At 45.1% G+C, this 20,559-nt stretch overlaps 1 protein-coding gene across 30 annotated transcripts in view; it reads left to right on the top strand.

Moving 5' to 3' along the window:
- OCA2 (OCA2 melanosomal transmembrane protein) overlaps positions 1 to 20,559 on the top strand; it is a 380,308-nt gene that overhangs the window by 141,110 nt on the left and 218,639 nt on the right. For 28 of the 30 annotated variants that reach the window (XM_047432619.1, XM_047432618.1, XM_047432609.1 and 25 more), the window contains 3 exons: positions 471 to 618; positions 2,991 to 3,048; positions 6,314 to 6,422. In XM_047432619.1, coding sequence (XP_047288575.1) covers positions 471 to 618; positions 2,991 to 3,048; positions 6,314 to 6,422 — 315 coding nt within the window. Of the gene's footprint in view, positions 1 to 470; positions 619 to 2,990; positions 3,049 to 6,313; positions 6,423 to 7,641; positions 8,471 to 20,559 lie in introns of those variants that run through there. The other 2 variants (XM_017022265.2, XR_001751294.2) reach the window with 2 other exon arrangements.

Here is a 20,559-nt window from a genome sequence, read left to right as displayed (position 1 = left end):
TTTTTATTACACTTTAAGTTCTAGGGTACATGTGCACAACGTGCAGGTTTGTTACGTAGGTATACATGTGCCATGTTAGTGTGCTGTACCCATTAACTCGTCATTTATATTAGGTATATCTCCTAATGCTATCCCTGCCCCCTACCCCCACCCCACAACAGGCCCTGGTGTGTGATGTTCCCCTTGCTATGTCCAAGTGTTCTCATTGTTCAATTCCCACCTATGAGTGAGAACATGTGGTGTTTGGTTTTTTGTCCTTGCAATTTGTGATAATTTTTAAATGTCGGCTTTGTCGTCTGGGCTCCATTGCAATAGCTCAGGTGCTGAGAAGCTCTGGGTGACCCTGGGCTACCTGCACGTCTCGAGTGTGTGTCTGCTCTGTCAGGCATCGACTGTGTGGGGAACAGAGGAGGGTGTTGCTGATATCTGAGGTCATGGGAGACCCAAGCTTCGCCTTCCTTTCTCTGCAGAACTGAAGCACGAGATTCACGTCTGGCGCCTGACTGCTCAGCGCATCAGCCCGGCCAGCCGCGAGGAGACAGCTGTGCGCCGCCTGCTGCTGGGGAAGGTGCTGGCACTGGAGCACCTGCTCGCCCGGAGGCTGCACACCTTCCACAGGTACCGGGCGGGGTCCTGCTCAGACTGTGCTTGGTGTGCAGCAGAACATTCCATGGGCCTACAAAATAGCGACATTAGCTGTATACTAATACGTGATATTTAGGTGACGCACACTGTGCTAAGCCTCTTATAGTACATTTTATCTAACCCTCACTGAGCTCTGCAGGGGGTACACAGCCGAGTTTAAGGACCAAAGAAACAACACAAAACCAGAGGCTCAGAGAATTTGAGCGGCGTGCCCAGGGTTGTGCAGCTCGGAAGGAGTGGCACTGGGGATGGGGCTCTCACTGTCAACCGCTGGGCTGTCCCATCTCTCTACATTGTAATTGTTGCACGACAAAAACCAAAAACCATTAATGCAAAGACTAATTTGACAAAATATTCTGCCAGCAGTTGATTTTCAGGCACCTGCAAGAATATGAAAGCCCCACTCAATTTGTTTCCTGGCATTCGTTGTTAATTGAAGCTGAGATTTAAAGGGTAACCATGAATTGGTGGTTTTTCTCCTTGCTATGACATGTTGCTGAGTTCCAAGCAGTCTTTGTTCTGGAAGCTCAGACAGAAGAAGCAGGAGCCTGGTGGCCCCCCAAGGGATGCTGAAGCTGAAGCGTCCCCACAGCTGAGCTGAGAGGGGGTGGAGATGTCCATCTAGGCAAGGGGAAATGTGAACCCTTATGAACAAAATCTAGAATGGTCTTGCCTGTTGCCATTCGCTGTGCACTGAGGGGTCACCCTGCATGGGTGTCTCAAGGTCTGGTCTGTTAGTGGGAGGATTCACAGGCAGTCACATGGAGTCCCACACAATCCCGGGATGAAGTGCCGGCTCAGTGCCATTGGCTTCATCCCCGGTCCGGGACCCATCTCGCCCAGTAATGCTGGAGCAGCAGGACCAGTGTCCTCAGGCCACAGGGAGGCCCTGAGTTACAGGCTGGGGAAAGAATGACCAACTTTGGCAGCAAGCACAGATCTTAAAGGAGACGCTTCATAAACTAAAGATGGAATAAATTGTGCTGGTGTTGGGTGTTAAAGACACACTCAGTGCATCTCAGGTTACAAACATGAGGAAACATGTGGGCTCCGAGGCTCACCACGTTCCCATCAGCTCCTCTGGTGTTAGTCACACATGAGGAAACAGACCTGGGGAGGGCGTGGCTTCCCAAGGCCACACAGTTGCTGAGAAGCAGATTACCATGAGGGTGTCCTAAAGCAAGGTCGAGCTCTGCAGGTTTTATTTTTTTGAGACGGAGTTTCGCTCTTGTTCCCCAGGCTGGAGTGCAGTGGCATGATCTCGGCTCACTGCAACCTCTGCCTCCTGGGTTCAAGTGATTCTCCTGCCTCAGCCTCCCGAGTAGCTGGGATTACAGGCATGTACCAACCCTCCTGGCTAATTTTGTATTTTTAGTAGAGACGGGGTTTCTCCGTGTTGGTCAGGCTGATCTCGAACTCCCAACCTCAGGTGATCCGCCTGCCTCAGCCTCCCAAAGTACTGGGATTATAGATGTGAGTCACCACGCCCGTCCTGCAAGTCTTATTTTTACATTTTCTTTTTAAAAATTGTCCTCAGAATCATTCGACTGTGTCTGCTGTGATTTCTTACGACCCAGACTGCCTGTGTGGTCAGCCTCTTTTGATACTAAAACTGCATTCTTCATTGTGCAGCCCCTTTTCCCTAATTGGTTTGGGAGGAAGTCAGCCAGGAGGGGTGGGCTGAGTCAGAAACATGAAAAAGAAGAGGCAAGTGGGAGCCACTGAAGGGGCTGAAACAGGCGGGAGGAGACCACCCCGGCAGGAGCAGCATGGACAGAAAAGACTTCAAAGCTGATCTTCCCCAACTGCTGGCCTCAAGTGATCCTTCCCCCTCGGCCCCCCAAAGTCCTAGGATTTCAGGCGTGGAAGTGATCATCGATTGATAAAAAACAACATTAAAGCAAGTGACATTTCTTTTACCACGTTTTTCTTTAGTTGGTTGTAATAGTTGTATAGGTTCAGTGCCCTCATTTTGGAAACAAAGAGATTCAGGACCGTAGAAGTGTGCATAAAGAGGAAAATAAAGAGACTGACGGTCGCTGCCCTCCTCCACGCACTGCTGCGGGGTTTTCGTGAAGCTTCCCCTGCGCAAGCTGTCACATGTACCTCCTCACACACACTCCTTTCATCATTCAGGTCATTATATGTATTTTTTTGGGAAAATAGAGAGTGAGCACCTTTTCCAGCCAACAAATGAAGCCCCACCGGCCCCCCATGACTAGTCCTGCCAGCCAGGCTCCAAGTCACAGACCGCGTCCAGGCACGAAGCGCTGGGGACTGCTGCTCCGCGATCTCACCACGCAGCGTGACCAGGGAAGTAATGAGTCTCTTCTTTTCTCTTTTAGACAGATCTCACAGGAGGACAAAAATTGGGAGACCAATATCCAAGAACTCCAAAAAAAGGTACCCAGCTTTCTTTCCTCAGGGATTTCTGATTCACTTCTCCAAGAAGAGAGTGAGTGATGCCTTTTCCTTCCCTCACGTGACTGAATGCCGTTTCTCTTTTTATTTCTGTGGTTATACACAAGACGTTGAGGTTTATGTGTGTGAGTGGATGGGGAAAAATGTTTTCTGGATACAGCAGGCTGATTTTGTGAGGATGTGGAAAGCAAACATCTTTATAGAGCCTTTCCCTGTCCCTGCACGTTGCAGGGCCCGCCCTCTGAGCGGGTGTCCCTGACCACCAGCCCGCTCCTGGCCCTGAAGGGCAGGCCCAAGGTTCACACTTTGCGGAGGGGAGACCGGCAAGGCATGCTGCATGAAGTGGAGCAGCTTTAGGGGCAGACATAGGATGCGTGAGTGTGCTGCCGATGGCTGTGACTTCCTGGGGCAGAGCTTGTTTTCTTTTGTTTTGTTTTTTTTGGCTCATTCTTCCATGGGGGTGGACTTTCTCAGCCCATTTATGAACACAGAGGACCCCTTCCCAGTCGAGAGAGCTCTGCTCAAGATCTGCTAGGAGTCATTTGCATCTCAGTGACATTTCAGATCCATGCAGTTTGTTTTCTAGGGAGAGATTGAATACCCACTCTAATTTTGATGGGCACACTCTCCATGCGAGTCAGGTGTTTCCTCAAAGGGCTTCAGAACACCTCACATCTATCGTGCTTATTTTCCATAAAGATGTTGGATGCAATCTGATGAGGTGCCTCAGTGCCTTCACACTCTGTCCCATGTGGATGGCCAGGGTTAGAAAAGAAAGGTATAGCTGTGATACTCTTGCAGGCCCCAAGTTCATACAGATTATGCCTGCCTTGCTAGACTGTGGTGTTTTAGTCATGAGTTGGAGAACTGTGTGCCTCTCTGTACACCTGGACGAGGACTACAGTGAGATGAAATGGAGAGGTAAGGCTTGGCAACATCCCTGTATCACATCTAAGAATTCTTACAGAAATGACCCTAGGTGTGTGTGTGTGTGTGTGTGTGTGTGTGTGTGTGTGTGTGTGTATGCCATGGAATACTACTCAGCCATAGAAAGGAATGAAATAATGGCATTCACAGCAACCTGGATGGACTTGGTGACCAGTGAAGTAACTCAGGAATGGAAAATCAAACATTGTATGTTCTCACTTATAAGTGGGAGCCAACCTATGAGGACACAAAGGCATAAGAATGATATAATGGACTTTGGGGACTTGAGGGGAAGGGTGGGAGTGGGGCGAGGGATAAAAGACTACACATTGGGTACTGTGTACACTGTTCAGGCTATGGGAGCACCAAAAATCTCAGAAATCACCACTAAAGAACTTACCCATATAACCAAACATCACCTGTCTTCCTGAAACCTATTGAAATAAGAAAAAGAAAAAAAAAAGAAAACAGAAAAAAAGAAATGACCTCAGGTATCCAGAAGGAGCAAATTTGAATGATACCCCCAAAAAACCTCCACTTCCATGAGCTGCAGGATGCTGGAATGCTCTTTGACCTGCCTACTCCTCCACCTCCAATCTTTGCACTGGCTGTGGCAATAGCCACTTTCTGTGGTTGCTGCGACCTCAGGGAAGGTTTGCAGTGCCTCCCCTCATGCCTGGTGAGAATCCGCATCACTCTCCTCTGAGCATTTCAAATCTTTTTCCTGCCATGCTCCTTTGGCCCTAATTCTTCAGCACAGAATCATGTAGGAAAATCGGCCTTCCCCAGAGAGGCGACAGGGAAGATGAGAAGGGGCTGGCCCAGCCATGAGCCTTCACGGTGGGCAGGGAGGGGCAGATGCTCACCAGTGGCCCCACTGCACATAGAGGAGGGGCTGTGTCAGCTGTTGTGACACAGAGGGCCTTGCATGTGTTTTTGATGGCAGCAGCTTTACCTTTGTGACCAGAGGAAGCAAGAGAGAGAATCTCTTTGTAGCTCTAGCTCTACCTCTGTGTGTCTATATCTATATATCTATATGTCTATATCTGTCCAAATCCAGATAGCTATAGATCACTATGATGGTAGATATCGAGATCCACCTGCATCCATGAAGCTACAGACATTGACATTCATCATCATTGCTGTCTCCATCTAATCCACCTAGACAGATTAGACAGATGGGTAGACAGGTGTGCTGGTGGGACCAGACTCAAGAAAGGATCTGATGCTTGCCAGGCGTGGTGGCTCACACCTGTAATCCTAGCACTTTGGGAGGCAGAGGTGGACGCATTGCTTGAGCCCAGGAGTTCAACACCAGCCTGGGCAACATGGTGAAACCCTATCTCTACTAAAAATACAAAAACTAGCTGGGCATGGTGGTGCACACCTGTAGTCCCAGCTACTGGGGAGGGAGGCTGAGGTAGGAGGATCACGTGACCCTGGGAGGCGGAGGTTGCGTTGAGCTGAGACTGTGCCACTGCACTCCAGCCTGGGTGATAGAGTGAGACTGTCTCAAAAAATGAAAATGAAAATAAAAATAAAAATAAATAAATAAATAAATGAAAGAAAGAAAGAAAGAGAAAGGACCTGGTGCAGTTATCCTTTCACACAGTGGGCCGGCATTCACACGGGGACCTTGTTAACAGGGCAGGCCTACCAGGTGCCCATCTGTGCGTGCTTCCCTGCCCTGGCCCCACGCAGCCATGGCCTGTGGAGCACAGTACCCTTGGGGCCTCATAGGGAGAGCCCCGTCTCGTGCCGTCTCCTAGGTACTCCTAGGTTGATGGAGGCCTTGCGGAGGATGAGGTGCCTCGGGGCCTGCCCTCCCCCTATGACCAGGTGGATTCTCGCGGGTGTCATTCCAGCGCTAAGAGTGCACCCCCTGCATTCCAGGGGCCTCATGCATGTCGTGTAAAGAACATGGCCAGAGCCTTATCTGGGAGTCACAGTTCCGTGAGAAGGCTCAGCCTCATGGCCCCACCCGCATGCTTGGCGTGGTAGAGAAAGGAACAGTGAAGACAGCATAGGCCCCTGTAGAAACGCCCCGTCATCCTCTGATACCTGCCGGCCAGGTGTTTCATAACAGGGCTGTGCTACTCTTGACATCTGTGTTTATCTTTCATAAAGATTTTGAATGCAGTAATCCTGAATCTGTACGGGTTTCCTTGTAACACAGTACTTTGCCATTTTCTTTCAAGTTCGAGAGGTTACATTTTTCATCCTCGTGAAATCTGTCGTGATTCCAGTTGCGTAGGTTATGACACGCTGCAGGAGTCAGAAGGTTGTGCAGAGTAAATGAGCTGTGGTTTCTCTCTTACAGCATAGGATATCTGACGGGATTCTGCTCGCCAAATGCCTGACAGTGTTGGGATTTGTTATCTTCATGTTTTTCCTCAATTCGTTTGTCCCTGGCATTCATCTTGATCTTGGTGAGTCTAATTTAGCTTTGGTTCATAGGCTTTGTCACATTCTGGATGGGAAGGTTTCAGAGCCTGTTCCCAGACACTGACTTTGCCCACAGGCAGCCGGGCTGGTGGAAGGCCAGAGAGGGCTGAGATGGAGGGTGGGCAGCCTGCCCTGGGAAGAAGGGCGCCTTTCCTTTTGGTTTCCTGGGCAGGAGGGAGGGAGAGAGAGATGCATCTCTGGCCCCTTAGACTCTGTGCCATGGGTCCTCAGCCCCTCCAGGGATGACCATGAGGAGGAATATAGAGTGGGCACTGTCCTGTCTATTGTAGTTAATAACCACATCTTTACATGGTTCCCAGAAGAGATGGAGCCACATGGGCAAGGCCAGCGCTGCCATCTGTGCCGCCTACCATGCCAGTTAGGTGACAGTCTGTTCGGGAGAGCCCTGGCGAATGGCCGGTGCTCTGCAGGGCCCACTTGCCTTGTCTGAGGGTGCATCTGGCGCATGAAACTGTTCTCCCACCGTCCACCATTGGTTTCTCTTCTCCCACGTTCACCACACCCATGGCTCTCAGACCTCTCCACTTTCTCTAGCCTGTGCTGTGGCCAGGACCTATCCCCACCTGAGATGTGGCTCTCTCAGGGGGAGCTCACCACAGAGCTTGTCAACCCCTGGCCTCCTCCACCCTCCATAAACGTTCTCCACTCTCCCAGGCGTTTCTTATCAATTTCACAGTTATCTCCATTGGTATCCTTATTGAAAACAAAACAAAACCCACCCCACATGAAAGTGTAGGTTTATAAGAAGCATAAATTTGAGGTGGTGTCACAGTCTTTTCTTTTACCAAAGCTTTACCCATAGTTTTCCTTCAAAAGTGAGCTCTGCTAAGATGGTTAAAATACCCAACTTTTATCTTATTTTGTATAAAACCTTGGTTCACTGTGAAATTTGAGGAGTGCAGCTGCCGTAGAAAGTGAAGCCTCTTAATTTTGTAAAATAGATGGATAATGCCTCAAGCTTCAGCGATTCGCACCACATCATTGCTTCCGGGGTTCCTGGAAACCATCAGACATTCATGGGCTAGAAGTTGGTCTTCCTTTTCTCTTATGTAAAAAAGCCGCATTTCTAGATTCTCACACAACACATGATGTATGTGCTTTTGACTGGAGTTCCAGCTTTGTGTTATGTATTTGCAGCCCCTCCATTTCTTTCTCTTGATAATCTCAAATCCAACTTGCCAGGTGGCCTGGGCTTGGTTCAAGCTGGCAGGTATTATTTATCCACACCTGAGAGCTGATCTGCTTGGAATCCTGATGAGGTAATGATCCAAAGCTGGAGTGGTAACGATTTTGTGAATTTCAATTGTATTTGGTGGATTACATCTAGAAATTGCTGCAGTGTAATTATTTTTAATTACGCCTCAGGCCTAATGTAATTTTAACATTAGAAACCTTAATGACTACAAGAATGTTACGTGGTCACCACTGGTAATTAAACAAATTTAAAAAACTAGTGTTTTGTGGGCAGAGAGGTTCCATTAGGTGTTCACAGATAATTTTGCTCCTGATTTTATTTGAGAGTCTACTTTAGAGGAACATAGCAGGCATTTTAAAAACTAAAAAGATATAAGAGCTTGCATTCAATTTTATTAACATTTGGCAACAGTCTTTGTATTAAAAACAATACTTTAATACTTAAAGTCACATCTTTAACTATATGGACTTAAAAAATCTTGGTTACTATGAAACTTTTAGCCTGCAAGTCTACGTTTTTTTTACAAAATGTCTCATCTCCTTTTGTGTGGTTGTTACATCTGTGAATGATGGACATGTTTATTTTCTGCTTTTAAATCCTGTTTTGTTTTTAGTTAGGGCTTGTGTTCAGGTGATTTTATCTGGGGATCCAGATACTGCATATTTATCAAGATAGGTTAGGTTGACTAGGAGAAAAGTTTGATTGGCATATATTTTAATGGAATACAGTTTCCTTAGAGTTATAAGAACTTTTCTGATAGAACAAGGGCAAAATGGATACAAGATCTTCCCGGGTCTTCAGCCAGTAGCAATGTGATCATTTATCTTTGGTGAAGTTCTGTTTTCTTTTTAATTTTTTTAAATGTAACAGTGTTTTTTTAAATTTTTTTGAGACAGAGTCTCACTCTGTTGCTCAGGCTGGAGTGCAGTGGCACAATCTCAACTCAGTGCAGCCTCTGCCTCCTGGGCTCAAGCAATTCTCCTGCCTCAGCCTCCTAAGTAGTTGGCATTACAGGAATGCGCCACCACACCCGGCTAATTTTTGTATTTTTAGTAGAGCTGGAGTTTCACTATGTTGGCCAGGCTGGTCTCAAACTGCTGACCTCAGGTGATCCTCCCGCCTCAGCCTCCCAAAGTGCGGGGATTACAGGCACGAGCTACTATGCCCGGCCAGAAGTTCTGTTTTCAATGTGTCCTGCTGTGTAAGTTGAGCCTCGTTCAATGTGATGTCATATGATATGAAATGATGTCGTATCACACGATGTACATCATGTAACGTGACATCATCTAATACAGCGCACACACTGTACACTACGTGACATTATAACAATGTAATTTCATATAACATAGGGTGCTGTCATATAAAAATGTGCATTGTGAAACAAAATGTGACATCAGATAACATTCCTTCATTTAGGAATCCTAACCTAGACATAGCATTGACTCTTTCTCTTTATTTTTTTTTTATTATCATAGAGCAAAACTGACTTTTCCTTTGAATGTAGCGTTCTTTGGATTTTAACACATAGGTAGGTTTGTGTAACTGCCACTGCAGTCAGAGCACAGGCCAGCTCCGTTACAGAACTTTCTCAGCTGTCCTTTTGTAGCCACCCTCCCCCGGTCCTGGCAAGGACTGATCTTGTCTCCATCACTATGGTTTTGTGTTTTTGGGGCTGTCATATACATGGAATCAGATCGTATGCCACCTTTCGAGACTGGCTTGTCTCACACAGTGTAATGCCTTTATGGTTCACCCAAGTTGCTGTGTGCATCAATGGTTCATGTTTGGCCGGGCACAGTGGCTCATGCCCGTAATCCTAGCACTTTGGAAGGCCGAGGAGGGTGGATTGCTTGAGCCCAGGAGTTCGAGACCGGCCTGGGCAACATGGCAAAATCCCGTCTCTACAAAAAATACAAAAATTAGCTGGGTGTGGTGGTGCACGCCTGTAGTCTCAGCTACTTGGGAGGCTGAGGCAGGAGGATTGCTTGAGCCTGGGAGGTGGAGGTTGTAGTGAGCTGAGATTGCACCACTGGGCTCAGCCTCGATGACAGAGCCAGACTATTTCAGAAAAACAAAAAACAGAAAACAAAAAAACCCCAAAAAACAAAAAAACTACTCCAGACACTTCTGAGCACATGGTTTTCTGTGAACTTAGGGTTTTATTCTCTGGGTTGATTTCCTTCTCTTGAGTGGCACTGCTGTGTCATATGGTGGGTGTAGATTTTATTTTAAAAGCAGCTGCTGCCCTGTTTTCTAGCAAGGCCAACCCCGTTGCGTTCCCACAGCATGTATGGGAGTTCCAGCTGTTTCACACCCTTGCTGGCACGTGGCACAATGAGAATCCCCCTGGAGTTCCGCAGCACCTTATGCAAACCTTAAATATATTCTTATGATTTCTTTCCTCGTCTGTCCTCTGTCCTCCCCCTTCCCAGCTAGACTCAAGGACATGGTCTGTGTGTCTGCATTTCCCCTCCCTGGTGCCTGCTGCTAATGCCTGGTTCATTAGTAGAAGCAAGGTGTAGGTTCTCAGGATGCACGAACAAAGTTCTCATTGCTGCTCACAGATTCCAACTTAACTATTGTGGGGAATTTCCTATGTGGCTGACCCAGCCTGGGGCACAGCCTGAGGCAAAGGCTCACATGTGTGTTCTTCATCCGGGAGCTTCAACCCAGAGAAGAGGAGTGAGGGATGGGGGCCGGGCAGTGAGGAGAGTGAGCGCAGGCACCACTGCCCCAGCGTGCTGGCCTTCGTGACGGGCCACTGGGGCTCCATCCTGCAAGGCTGCCTGAGTGGAGGTACCAAATGCACCTCAGGGCTGTCTGTGGGGTTGAGTAGAGCAAGAAGGAATGTTTACTGGCTGGTGCGCATGGCCCATTGGTCATAGCTCCTTCCCGTGGGATGCCAGAGTGCATGTGTCCAGCTGCATGTGCCGAGGCCATGCGACCGCACCCGCAGGGCGGCCCAGGCAGAGAAGGCATCAGGGGCATGGGCTCCAGGGCAGACCTTCCAGGTGCATCTGTGTGAGGGTTGTCGGGCCACACGGAGCTGGCTGTGGTGACAGAGAGGAGAGCCCTGAGGGACCCAGGGGTGTGCAAGAGGTGGCACAATGGCAAAGAAGGGTGAGCAAGGGCCAGGGTCACAGTTCACACCCATCCGGTAAAGAGGTGGCTCCCAATGTGCAGGGACCATCACCTCACAGCACAGCAAGACCAAGCCCAGCCTGGGCGCTGGCTCTGCAGAGGTCTGCAGTGCCTGCATGAGACCCTTAGTGCCAGATGGGTTTCACAGGGGCCAAGGGAGAGCTTTCCCCTTGGGCCTCTTGAGTTTTGCTGAAAAACCAACTCACAGAAGGCAGAGTAATAGGAGAAAAGGCAAACACATTCATTTAACATGTGTACACAGGAGCCTTCAGAATGAAGACCCAAAGATACAGGAGAAATTGTTCATGTTAAAGCTTAGGTTCAGCCAAGTGTGGACAGCCATGTAGAAATGGGATTGGAGAAAAAGTGTATGATTGGGTACTGATAGACTGAGTGGGAAACCCAGCAGGGCCTGTCTGTCCAGGGTCCTCCTGGCCTCTCTGAGCGGCACTCCTTCCTTCTGAGTGTGGGGCAGGCCCCTTTCTGGAATGGGAGTTGTAGGACCCACAGTCAAACAAGGCAGGCCAGACAGTTTCTTCATGGCCAGTTTTCACACAGAAAGGCAGAGGGAAAATGAGAATAACACTTTAGATTTTATGGCTGGCTTTGCAGAAAAGGATTCTGGTTTCAATGACCTGCCTTGGGAAAGATTCTAGTGTCTTTGGCAGTCTCAGGGGAGAATGGGACTGAGAGATGGGCAGGCAGGAGGACGGCAGAGAAAACTTTTCCTTCTGATAAAACAAAAACTTCAGCCGAATTAAATGTAAAGGAGTTTGATTGAATGATGAACGATTCGCAAATTGGGCAGCCCCCAGAATCACAGCAGATTCACAGAGACTCCAGGGGTGCCTCATGGTCAGAACAAACTTATAGACAAAAAAGGTAAAGTGACGTACGGGAATCGGAAGTGAGGTACAGAAACAGTGACATTGGTTACAGCTCGGCGTTTGCCTTATTTGAACACAGTTTGAACATACAGCAGCCTATGAGTGGTTGAAGTATGGCTGCGGGGATTGGCTGACACTCAGCCATTGTTAGAGGTGCATACTATTAAGTTAGGTTTTCGCTTTGTCTGACTATTAAGCTAGGTTACAGTTCATCCACAAGGACTCAAATAGAGAAGTACAGAGTCCTTCTCAGGCCATCGTTAGCTTGCTTTAACACTTCTGAGGCCTTCATTTTGGGGTATTGCTTTCTGAGCCCCAGAAGTTTCAAAATTCAGATTTTTTTATGTGTTTTAGAAAGATAATTCAGTGAGCATACTGAATTTTGGATATAATGTAACACACCCTGAGAGGTTCAGGGCCAGCACCCTGTCATCCGAGCATGATTTCTGCAGTGAAACATGAATATTTACACAAAGTGGGACAAATAAAGACTGCAAACAACCTCATTCCTATTCAAGTCAGGGTTTTTTGAATTTTTTTACATCAAAATATATAGAAAAAGTTTGCTTTTCTGAAATTAGGGTTTCAAGATTGTGGATAACTGATTATGAACCTGTGAAAAGAATCAGCGAGGCAGGCTTGAAAATGTTATCTTTGGCCTTAAAATTCAGAGCCTTGATGAGCTGTTTCCTAGGCCTCCTCCTTTGATAATTAGTTCAGAATGTACCCCAGATTCTCTCATGATGTGTTTGATTAGATTTCAGTTCTGGAAAATTTTCCGTCATTATTTCCCTGATTATGGTTTTGAAATTGCTGGTCTTCTCCCTGTCCCTTGGTGTCCCTCTGGTTGAGCAATTTTATTGTTGTCTTTGTGAAAGTATTTTTAGCTACAAATAAAGCAATCTATTGGATCTGTCTTAAGCAAAATGGAGGATTATTAGAATAATAACAGGCTGACAGGCTCCAAGGACACTGGGGCCTCTTGGGGGCAGGCTCAGGAAGGAGGAAGGGTCCGGATGGAGGGCGCCCACCCACCCCGGCATCTGCAGTGCTCTGCCCTCAGCTCCTTGCTTCTCCGTGACCAGTTAGTGCATCTTTTTTCTGCTCATGGCAGAATAGTGCTTGCCTGATCAGTTTCCCAGTTTATAGGACCTCGATTTCAGCCACACACAGAGAAATGGCTATTTTGAACCCCCAATTTCCAGGCGAAGAGGAGTCTGCTTGGCCTTGTTGGTTTCTTTCATCTCCTAGCACAGGAAATTCTGAGCAGGTGGACGGGAACAAGTGGTGAGATGTGGCCTGGAGTGGCTGAGGCATACTTCTTAGAGGAGGTCACTATGAGCTGGACAGACATTCCCAAGGCTTCCTAATATATGTTCTATGCACTCTAGTTTCTAGTAAGATTCATTTCAGCTAAGCCATTCACATATCCATCCTCTCACTTATTCATGCATTTGTACAACACATGCAGGCAGTGGCCTAGGGGTTGATTGGGGCTAGTGTGGTGAACATAAAAACCATATCGCTGCTCTCCTAGGTCGTCTTCTCTAGAGGGGAGATGGATCTATATTTACTCTACCAGGGACTCATGTAACTGTCCAGCGGGTTCCTCTTGCCCACTGCTGAGGTAGACCAGATTTATGGAGGCAGAGTTGTTGCAGTAGGGAAGGAGTTTTACCCATGTAGGACCTGGCTAAATGGAAGACGGGAGTTGTATTATTACTGAAATCTGCCTCTCTGATTTGGAGGCTAGGGCTTTTCAAGGACAATTTTGGGGAAGAATGGCGGGGAGGGTGGTTAGGCAATGGGTGCTTGCTGCCAATTGGTTGAGGGTGTAAATCATAGGGGTGTGGGAAATGGTTCTCCTGCATGCAGAGTCATTTCTGAGTAAGCCACAGGAGCAGCTGGCCAGTCCAGGTGGAGCCATCAGTCTCAAACATGCAAAAACCCTGAAAACGTATCTCAAAAGGCCAGTCTTAGGCTCTCCAATAGCGATGTTATCTGCAGGAGTAACTGGGGAAGTTGCATATCTTGTGACCTCCAGAATAATGGCTGGCAATCTTCTATGTCTACACTTTAGCAGAATTCAGTCTCTCCTATCCTCCTAGCCTGGTGTTCTTTGATTAGCTTTACAAATGCAATTGAGTTTTGGGGAAGGGCTGTTATCATTTAAGCTATAAACTAAACGTCTGCCAAAGTTAGCTTGCCTTAAGCCCAAGAATAATTGAGGGCAGCTTGAAGGCTAGAGGCAAGAAGGGGATTGGATAGATCAGATCTCCCTCACTGTCATAATTTTCTCACTGATGCAATTTTTGCAAAGGTGGTTTCAGTCACATTAGGGCCAGCAAGGACTACACAGCTAATTTAGACACCAAGACCTTCAGAGCTCTGATGTGGAGACAAGCCAAGGGTACCAAATGGTAAAGCCAAAAACGATAATTTCCATAGTCAAGGTGTCGATGAAAAGAGTGAAACTCTGTAAATTATTTGAAGAGATCTATTCTGAGGCAAAAATGAGTGAACACGGCCCATGACACCACTCCAGGAGATCCTGAGAACATGTACCCAAGGTGGTTGAGTTACAGCTTGATTTTATACATGTTAGGAGGACAGAAGTTACAGGAAGATATTCACCAATACATGTAAGTTGTGTATTGGTTCAGTCCGGCAAGGTGCGACAACTCGAAGCAGGGGGCAGGATAAGGGCTTCCAGGTCATAGGTGGATTCAAAGACTTTCTGATTGGCAATTGGTTGAAAGAGTTATTATCTAAAGTCCCAGAATCAATAGAAAGAAGAGCCTGGGTTAAGATATGGGGTTGCAGAGACCAAGGTTTTTTTTTTTTTTTTTTTTAAATTATACTTTAAGTTTTAGGGCACATGTGCACATTGTGCAGGTTAGTTACATATGTATACGTGTGCCGAGACCAAGGTTTTTATCATGCAGATGAAGCCTCCAGGTAGCAGGTTTCAGAGCTCTTATCAGACCTAAAAAATTACCAGAGTCTTAGGGAAAGGTTTTGGAAAGGGAAGGGGATTCTCTACAGAATATAGATTTTCCCCACAAAAGACAACTTTGCAAGGCCATCTCCAAATGTGTCAAAGAAGCGTATTTTGGGGTAAAATACTTTGATTTCTTTCAGGGCCTGCTGTCTGTCATGTGATGTTATACTAGAGTCAGGATGGAATTTGGTATCTTATTGCTACATCTATTCTATCGGTCTGAAGATCCCTGTTTTAATGTGAATGCTGGTGAGTTGTGTCTGAATTCCAAAGGGAGTGGGGTACAGTGAGGCACGGCTGACCCCCTTCATGCCCTGAACTAGTTTTTCAGATTTCTTTGAAATGTCCTTGGCTGAGAGGGGGTCCGTCAGTTGGTTGAGGGGCTTAGAGATTTGTTTTTGGTTTACAAAGTTACAGATGAAAGGCCTAATGAAATCCCCAAAAGAAATGAGGAGCTCTTACTGGAAAGGCTTTGGCATATTAGAAAATAGCCCTGATATATGTAAACTATTTAAGGCAGTTATTACATACAGTTTGTGTTAACCTGATAATAAAAATATTTACATCCCTGGATGGCTCTATTCTAATTTTCATCAAATATTCATCTTAGATGAATGTAAATATCCAAGAGATTATTTCAGAATGATGATAAATATAATATAATGCAATATAATATAACATAATGTAAAGTAATATAATATGGATCTTGGATTTATAAGTCAATTAGAATAATTAGCTGCTTTCCTTACTATCCTCACCGTGGGTAGAATTACCAAATTTCATCATAACACTGAAGAAATGAAATCATGGGGGAGAGAGAATGACTCAGTTTTTTAAAAATGGAGATATAGAATTCACACAACATAAAATTTATCTTGCAAAATTATATCATTCAGTGTATTTTAGTATATTCACAAAGTTGTACAACCATTGTCAGTATCCAATTCCAGAACACTTTCCTCATTCCCCAAATAATCCTATACCCATTAGTAGTCACTCACACACTGCTTCCCCCCTTTCCCCAACCCCCAGACCCTGGAAACCACTAATCCTACTTTCTGTTCCTGGATTTGCCTATTCTGGACATCTCATTTAATGGAATCATTTAACATGTGGTCTTTTGTGTCCAGCTTCTTTCACTTAGCATAACATTTTCAAGGTGCATCCGTGTTGCATCATGGATTAGTGCTTCATTTCATTTGGCTGTATGATATTCATATATATGTTTTCTATTAAACTATGTATATTATATATGTATATCATATATATTATGTATATCGTATGTATATCATATATAATATCATATATTATATATAGTAATATATAATATGTATCACAATTTATTTATCCATTTATTAGCTGTTTGACCTAGGAGTGGAATTGCAAGGTCATATGCAACTCTCTGTTGAACTTTTAGAAACCCTGCCTAACTGCTTTTCCAGAGCAGATGCACCTTTACATTCCTGGTGGTAATGCATGAGCGTTCTGATTTCTCCACACTTTCACCAGCACTTGTTATTGTGTGTGTCCTTGATTATGCTCATCATACCAGGCGTGAAGTGGTACTTCATTACAGCTTTGATTTGCATTTCCTAGTGATGAATGACATTGAGCATCTTTTCATGTGCTTATTGGCCATTTATGAAATGCTCTTTTACTAAATAACATGTGAACTTGTTTTTTCCATCTGTTTGGAAATTTCAGCTGTGATTTACATTAACAACAGCCTTCTTTTGCTATGAAGATTTGTTCCTAACTCTGGAGCATTTTTGCCCATTTGAATCTCCCTTCCTGAGCATCATGCACACATATGAGGATGAGGAAGGCCAGTGTCTCTCCTCTAGTTGCTTAAAACCGCAGCCTTGCCAGGAGCCTAGTGAAGCATTTCATAGGGTTGGTCATGATTCTCCACATGCGGGGATTCATCGTTGGTTGCGGTCTCCTTTTATTAGCTCCAAAATGTTTTCAATAATGCAGCCAATATCCTCCATTGAGTACCCACAGGTTAATGAATTTGGGGGTAGAGCAAATCCATTTAATGACTGTTTCTCACTTCATTTTTCATTCCAAATGGCTTGGATCACATAGGTCTGCATATAACAGTAAGACTGCGAGATTTTTAAAAGGTTGGATAATTTTGACGGAGTACCACATTAGCTTTTAAACTGTGGATTTTCAGAAATGTTAGTGGTCTCTATTTGAATAAAAGTATCTGTGAGTTATGGGTGGGAGAGTAAGGTGTTAGATATGCATTCATCAAGAGATTGTTAACATTCTCACATCGAATGATTACTACTTACAATTTTTTCATTGGTCATTACCCTTAAGATTCTACATTGTCTCAATATATATTAACATTTTTCTATGTAAATTATATTTTCCCCTTAGCATTAATAAGAAAGACAGTCTTTATATTCACTATAGAAAACCAAGTCTGGAGAAATCACAGCTACAGAATTATTAGAAATATTGGGACCAAGAGATTCTTCCTTTCAGGGCTCAGGATATCCCTAACTTTGCAGTCACAATGCTAAGAAGAGTTAGGTTGTGTCAACATTTTCACTTGCTTGTCTGAAGCTACACTGTGGTCACATTTAAATTCCTCAACATTAATAATCTGAAGAAGAATTTAAATAAATTATGAGAGAATAGTGCTGTGGCCATTCACTTCTCAAACTTTTAATAATAAAAAGCAGTTTTTCGGTGATGTTTATGATGTGCATTTGTGGAAATTAGGTATTCCATTGCTAGTGAATGACACAGTTAATTGGAACAAAACTGAACAACTGCAAACATGACTGACCTAATTTTTCTTTCAACGTTTGCAAACAGACCAGATGACATATAGCCTATCCATTTGATATTTTCTTGTGCCGGATGTATCAGGATAGGATAGGCTTTGCTGAGTGAAACACTGGCCCTGCTGTCTTGGAAGCTTGACACAACCACACTTTTTCTTGGTGACATCTTTAGTGCTGGTCAGTAGGGTCCCTGCTGGACAGAGACACTGGCGTTTTGTGATGCCACCATAGAAACAGCAGCTTTCAGGATCATCTTGGCAAGGAAGAGACAGGGGATAGAACTGACAGCTGCCTGTAAATGCCAGGCTAGGAATGTGTGTCTCATTTGCTCATGGCCCAATGGCCGGGTTGGTCTTGTGGCTTCACCTAACTACAGGGCTGGAAACCTTTCTGGGGGTCCAGTAGGGAGAAGAGTGACAGGTGTGGGGAGCTCTGACAAGCTACTAGTGAACCGATACACAAAACACCTCCTACACGATTTGTTAAGGGTTTTACATGATATGATGTTTTATCTGGTACTTTAGAATATTACATAGTGGCCCACCAGTGGGGGTGACTAAAATCTGCTTGGATGCTGGTGAGCATGGAATGTATCAATCAGAAATGCATTCTATTTGGATTTTGAGGAGCCTGAGAAGAAAGGGGGTTCAGTCCCAACGGCAAAGCTGTGTGATGTCCAAGAAGAGCTGGGTGTGTTTCTCAGGGTCAGGCTGCTCTGTGGCCCGCCTCTCCAGGCTCCATCCACATGGAATGCAGCTCACTGCAGTTGTGCAGTCAGTGACCTGGGTGGTTCCCGAGGACCACAGGAAAACCTGCAATGAGGAGTAAACGTTACTTGCTACAAGAAGATCCAAGTTGTGTGGCATTCTGAGAATTTGCATTCCGTGTTTAATGCAGATACTTTAGCTGCTTGTTCATTCACTTGTTGATTCGTTATTTTTGAGTGTGTTTTTACCCACTCCTCACTGTGAGAGGCACCAGGGATACCTGTGAATGAGGCACGATTCCTGACCGTGTCTAATGCACCTGCAGCACTGACCTGCCTCTGTGATAACGAACCTGATTCTTTAACAAAGCCCAAATGCACAAGTGCAAAATGAGAATTCTTAACTGCATTTAGCATTATTTCTTTATGCTTAGTTATTCTTGTGTAAGGATTACTCATTTTAATGAATAAATGAGCATATGAAAAGGTGCTCAACCTCGTAAGTCATCAGTAAAATGCAGAATTTAACCACAATGAGATGACATCATTTTAAGCACTCACAATTTTAATTCTACTCCTTCATGATATCTAGGGAGCATAATATTCATATTTTACATATCACTGCATTTAATAGGCCCCGAGGGTACCAGAAATTGAGTACAAATGTTAGCAGAGTCTTGTTTGGAGTGGTGAATAATACTCATCATAAACATGGCCAACATTTCAATTAATTTTTTAAAAGTAGAGGTTAGAAAATCATTTGATATTGAGACCTAAAATAGTGAAAATAAAAGTAAGTTAAGAAAACAGCTATGATGCCTTCCTTTCTTGCTGACATTTTTATGAGTTTGTCATAGATGTTCTAGTTCACATGAGTTTTAACAGTCAAGAATATGAAGCTCCTCAGAGCCTGTTTGATTTTCAACATGTTTCAAAGATGCTTGAGACCACAGAAGAGCTCCAATGTTCAGTTAAGCTCTGGTTGGTTCCCCCATGGCCTCAGCAAGCGTATGGATTTAGCTGAGAGACCCCTATGGTACCTTGGTGTGTGAGGCTAGCATAGCCGTCACAGGTCCATCACGGCAGTTGTATGTGAGCTGTCTTCTCCATGAGCCTGTGCAGTCCTCGGGGCAGAGCTCAGTCCAGTCCGCCACTCCCAAGGCCACAGAGACCATACTTGAGTGTGCTCAGGGCATGTGCATCGATGCAGCTGTCTCTCAGTCCATCCCGGGAGCTCAGCCTGCCACTGTCTTTCTCTGACAATGTGAGTGCTTTAGAATGTGAATGAGCTGGCATTCAGGGGACAGCCTGGGTAACTGGTACTTGTGTTTATCAAGGACAAAAATCCTGCCTCTGTGTCTGTGTCTGTGTGTTCTCATTAGAGGTCTTCATATTTGGTGAAACTTACCAGCCTCTAAGCACAGTAACCCTTGAGTGTCCTGAAAGTTTTAGTTACTGCCTTCTAATGGCATATTTGTAGGGCTGTACCATTCCCTGACCCTGCCATCACAATTTTCTCCCTTCCATTTTTGGAAGTGGGGTGGAATGCATACATTGAAACACTTTTGCTGATGAAAAGCTGGAATCAGCCCACTTGGTCTAGTGAGCAATGAGCCTGGAGTCTTGCCTCTGCAAGTTGTGGGCAGAAGGGCTAGAATGCCGCCTGGTGAGACAGGGTGGATGCTTAGCTACCTCCTGACCCTCATCAGATCTTAGGTGGCACGTAAGCTGAGGCAGGTGTGTATCTTCTTCCCCTCCTGCACAGCTACATGCACTTCCCTCCCCAACGTGCCCATTTGGTTTAAGAGGACCTAATCTATGTAAGGTTCAGTGGCCTCTGTAAAATAGGGATCCTGCTGAGTGTCTTCATCACATCATATTATGTCATCAAACATCTCCATGTGACTCAACTCCTTTTTTTGTTATGTAGCTTTATTGCAGCAATAACTTACCAACATACCTTACAGTCTATTCATGCATAACATGCAATCACTAGGGTAAGCTGGCCCATCATTTTCTTATTTATATTTGTGACTCAGCTTTTTAAATTGGATATGAAAAGTGCTAATGGTAAAAGATTAGGTTGATAACTTTGACTATCTTAAAATTAGGAACTTATGTCTCAAAGTGTACTACTAAATGAGTGAACAAGAAGCCACAGAGTGAAAAAAGTGTGTGCAAAAGCATCCATTGTCACATTTGGAAATTATATCTAAAATATAAAAAGAACATCTATAGAGCAATAAGAAAAGACAGAACCCCCCAATAGAAAAATGGACGGAATCTTAAGTAGACACTTCACAGAAGAAGATATTGAAATTACTGAAAGTATTAGTAAGCATATGAGAAGGTGTTCAACCTTGTAAGTC

The sequence above is a fragment of the Homo sapiens genome, chromosome 15, assembly GCF_000001405.40.
Source record: "Homo sapiens chromosome 15, GRCh38.p14 Primary Assembly".
NCBI classification, from domain to species: Eukaryota; Metazoa; Chordata; class Mammalia; order Primates; family Hominidae; genus Homo; species Homo sapiens.
The sequence above is the reverse complement of the archived record's forward strand: the minus strand, read 5'-3'. Positions and strand labels throughout refer to the sequence as shown.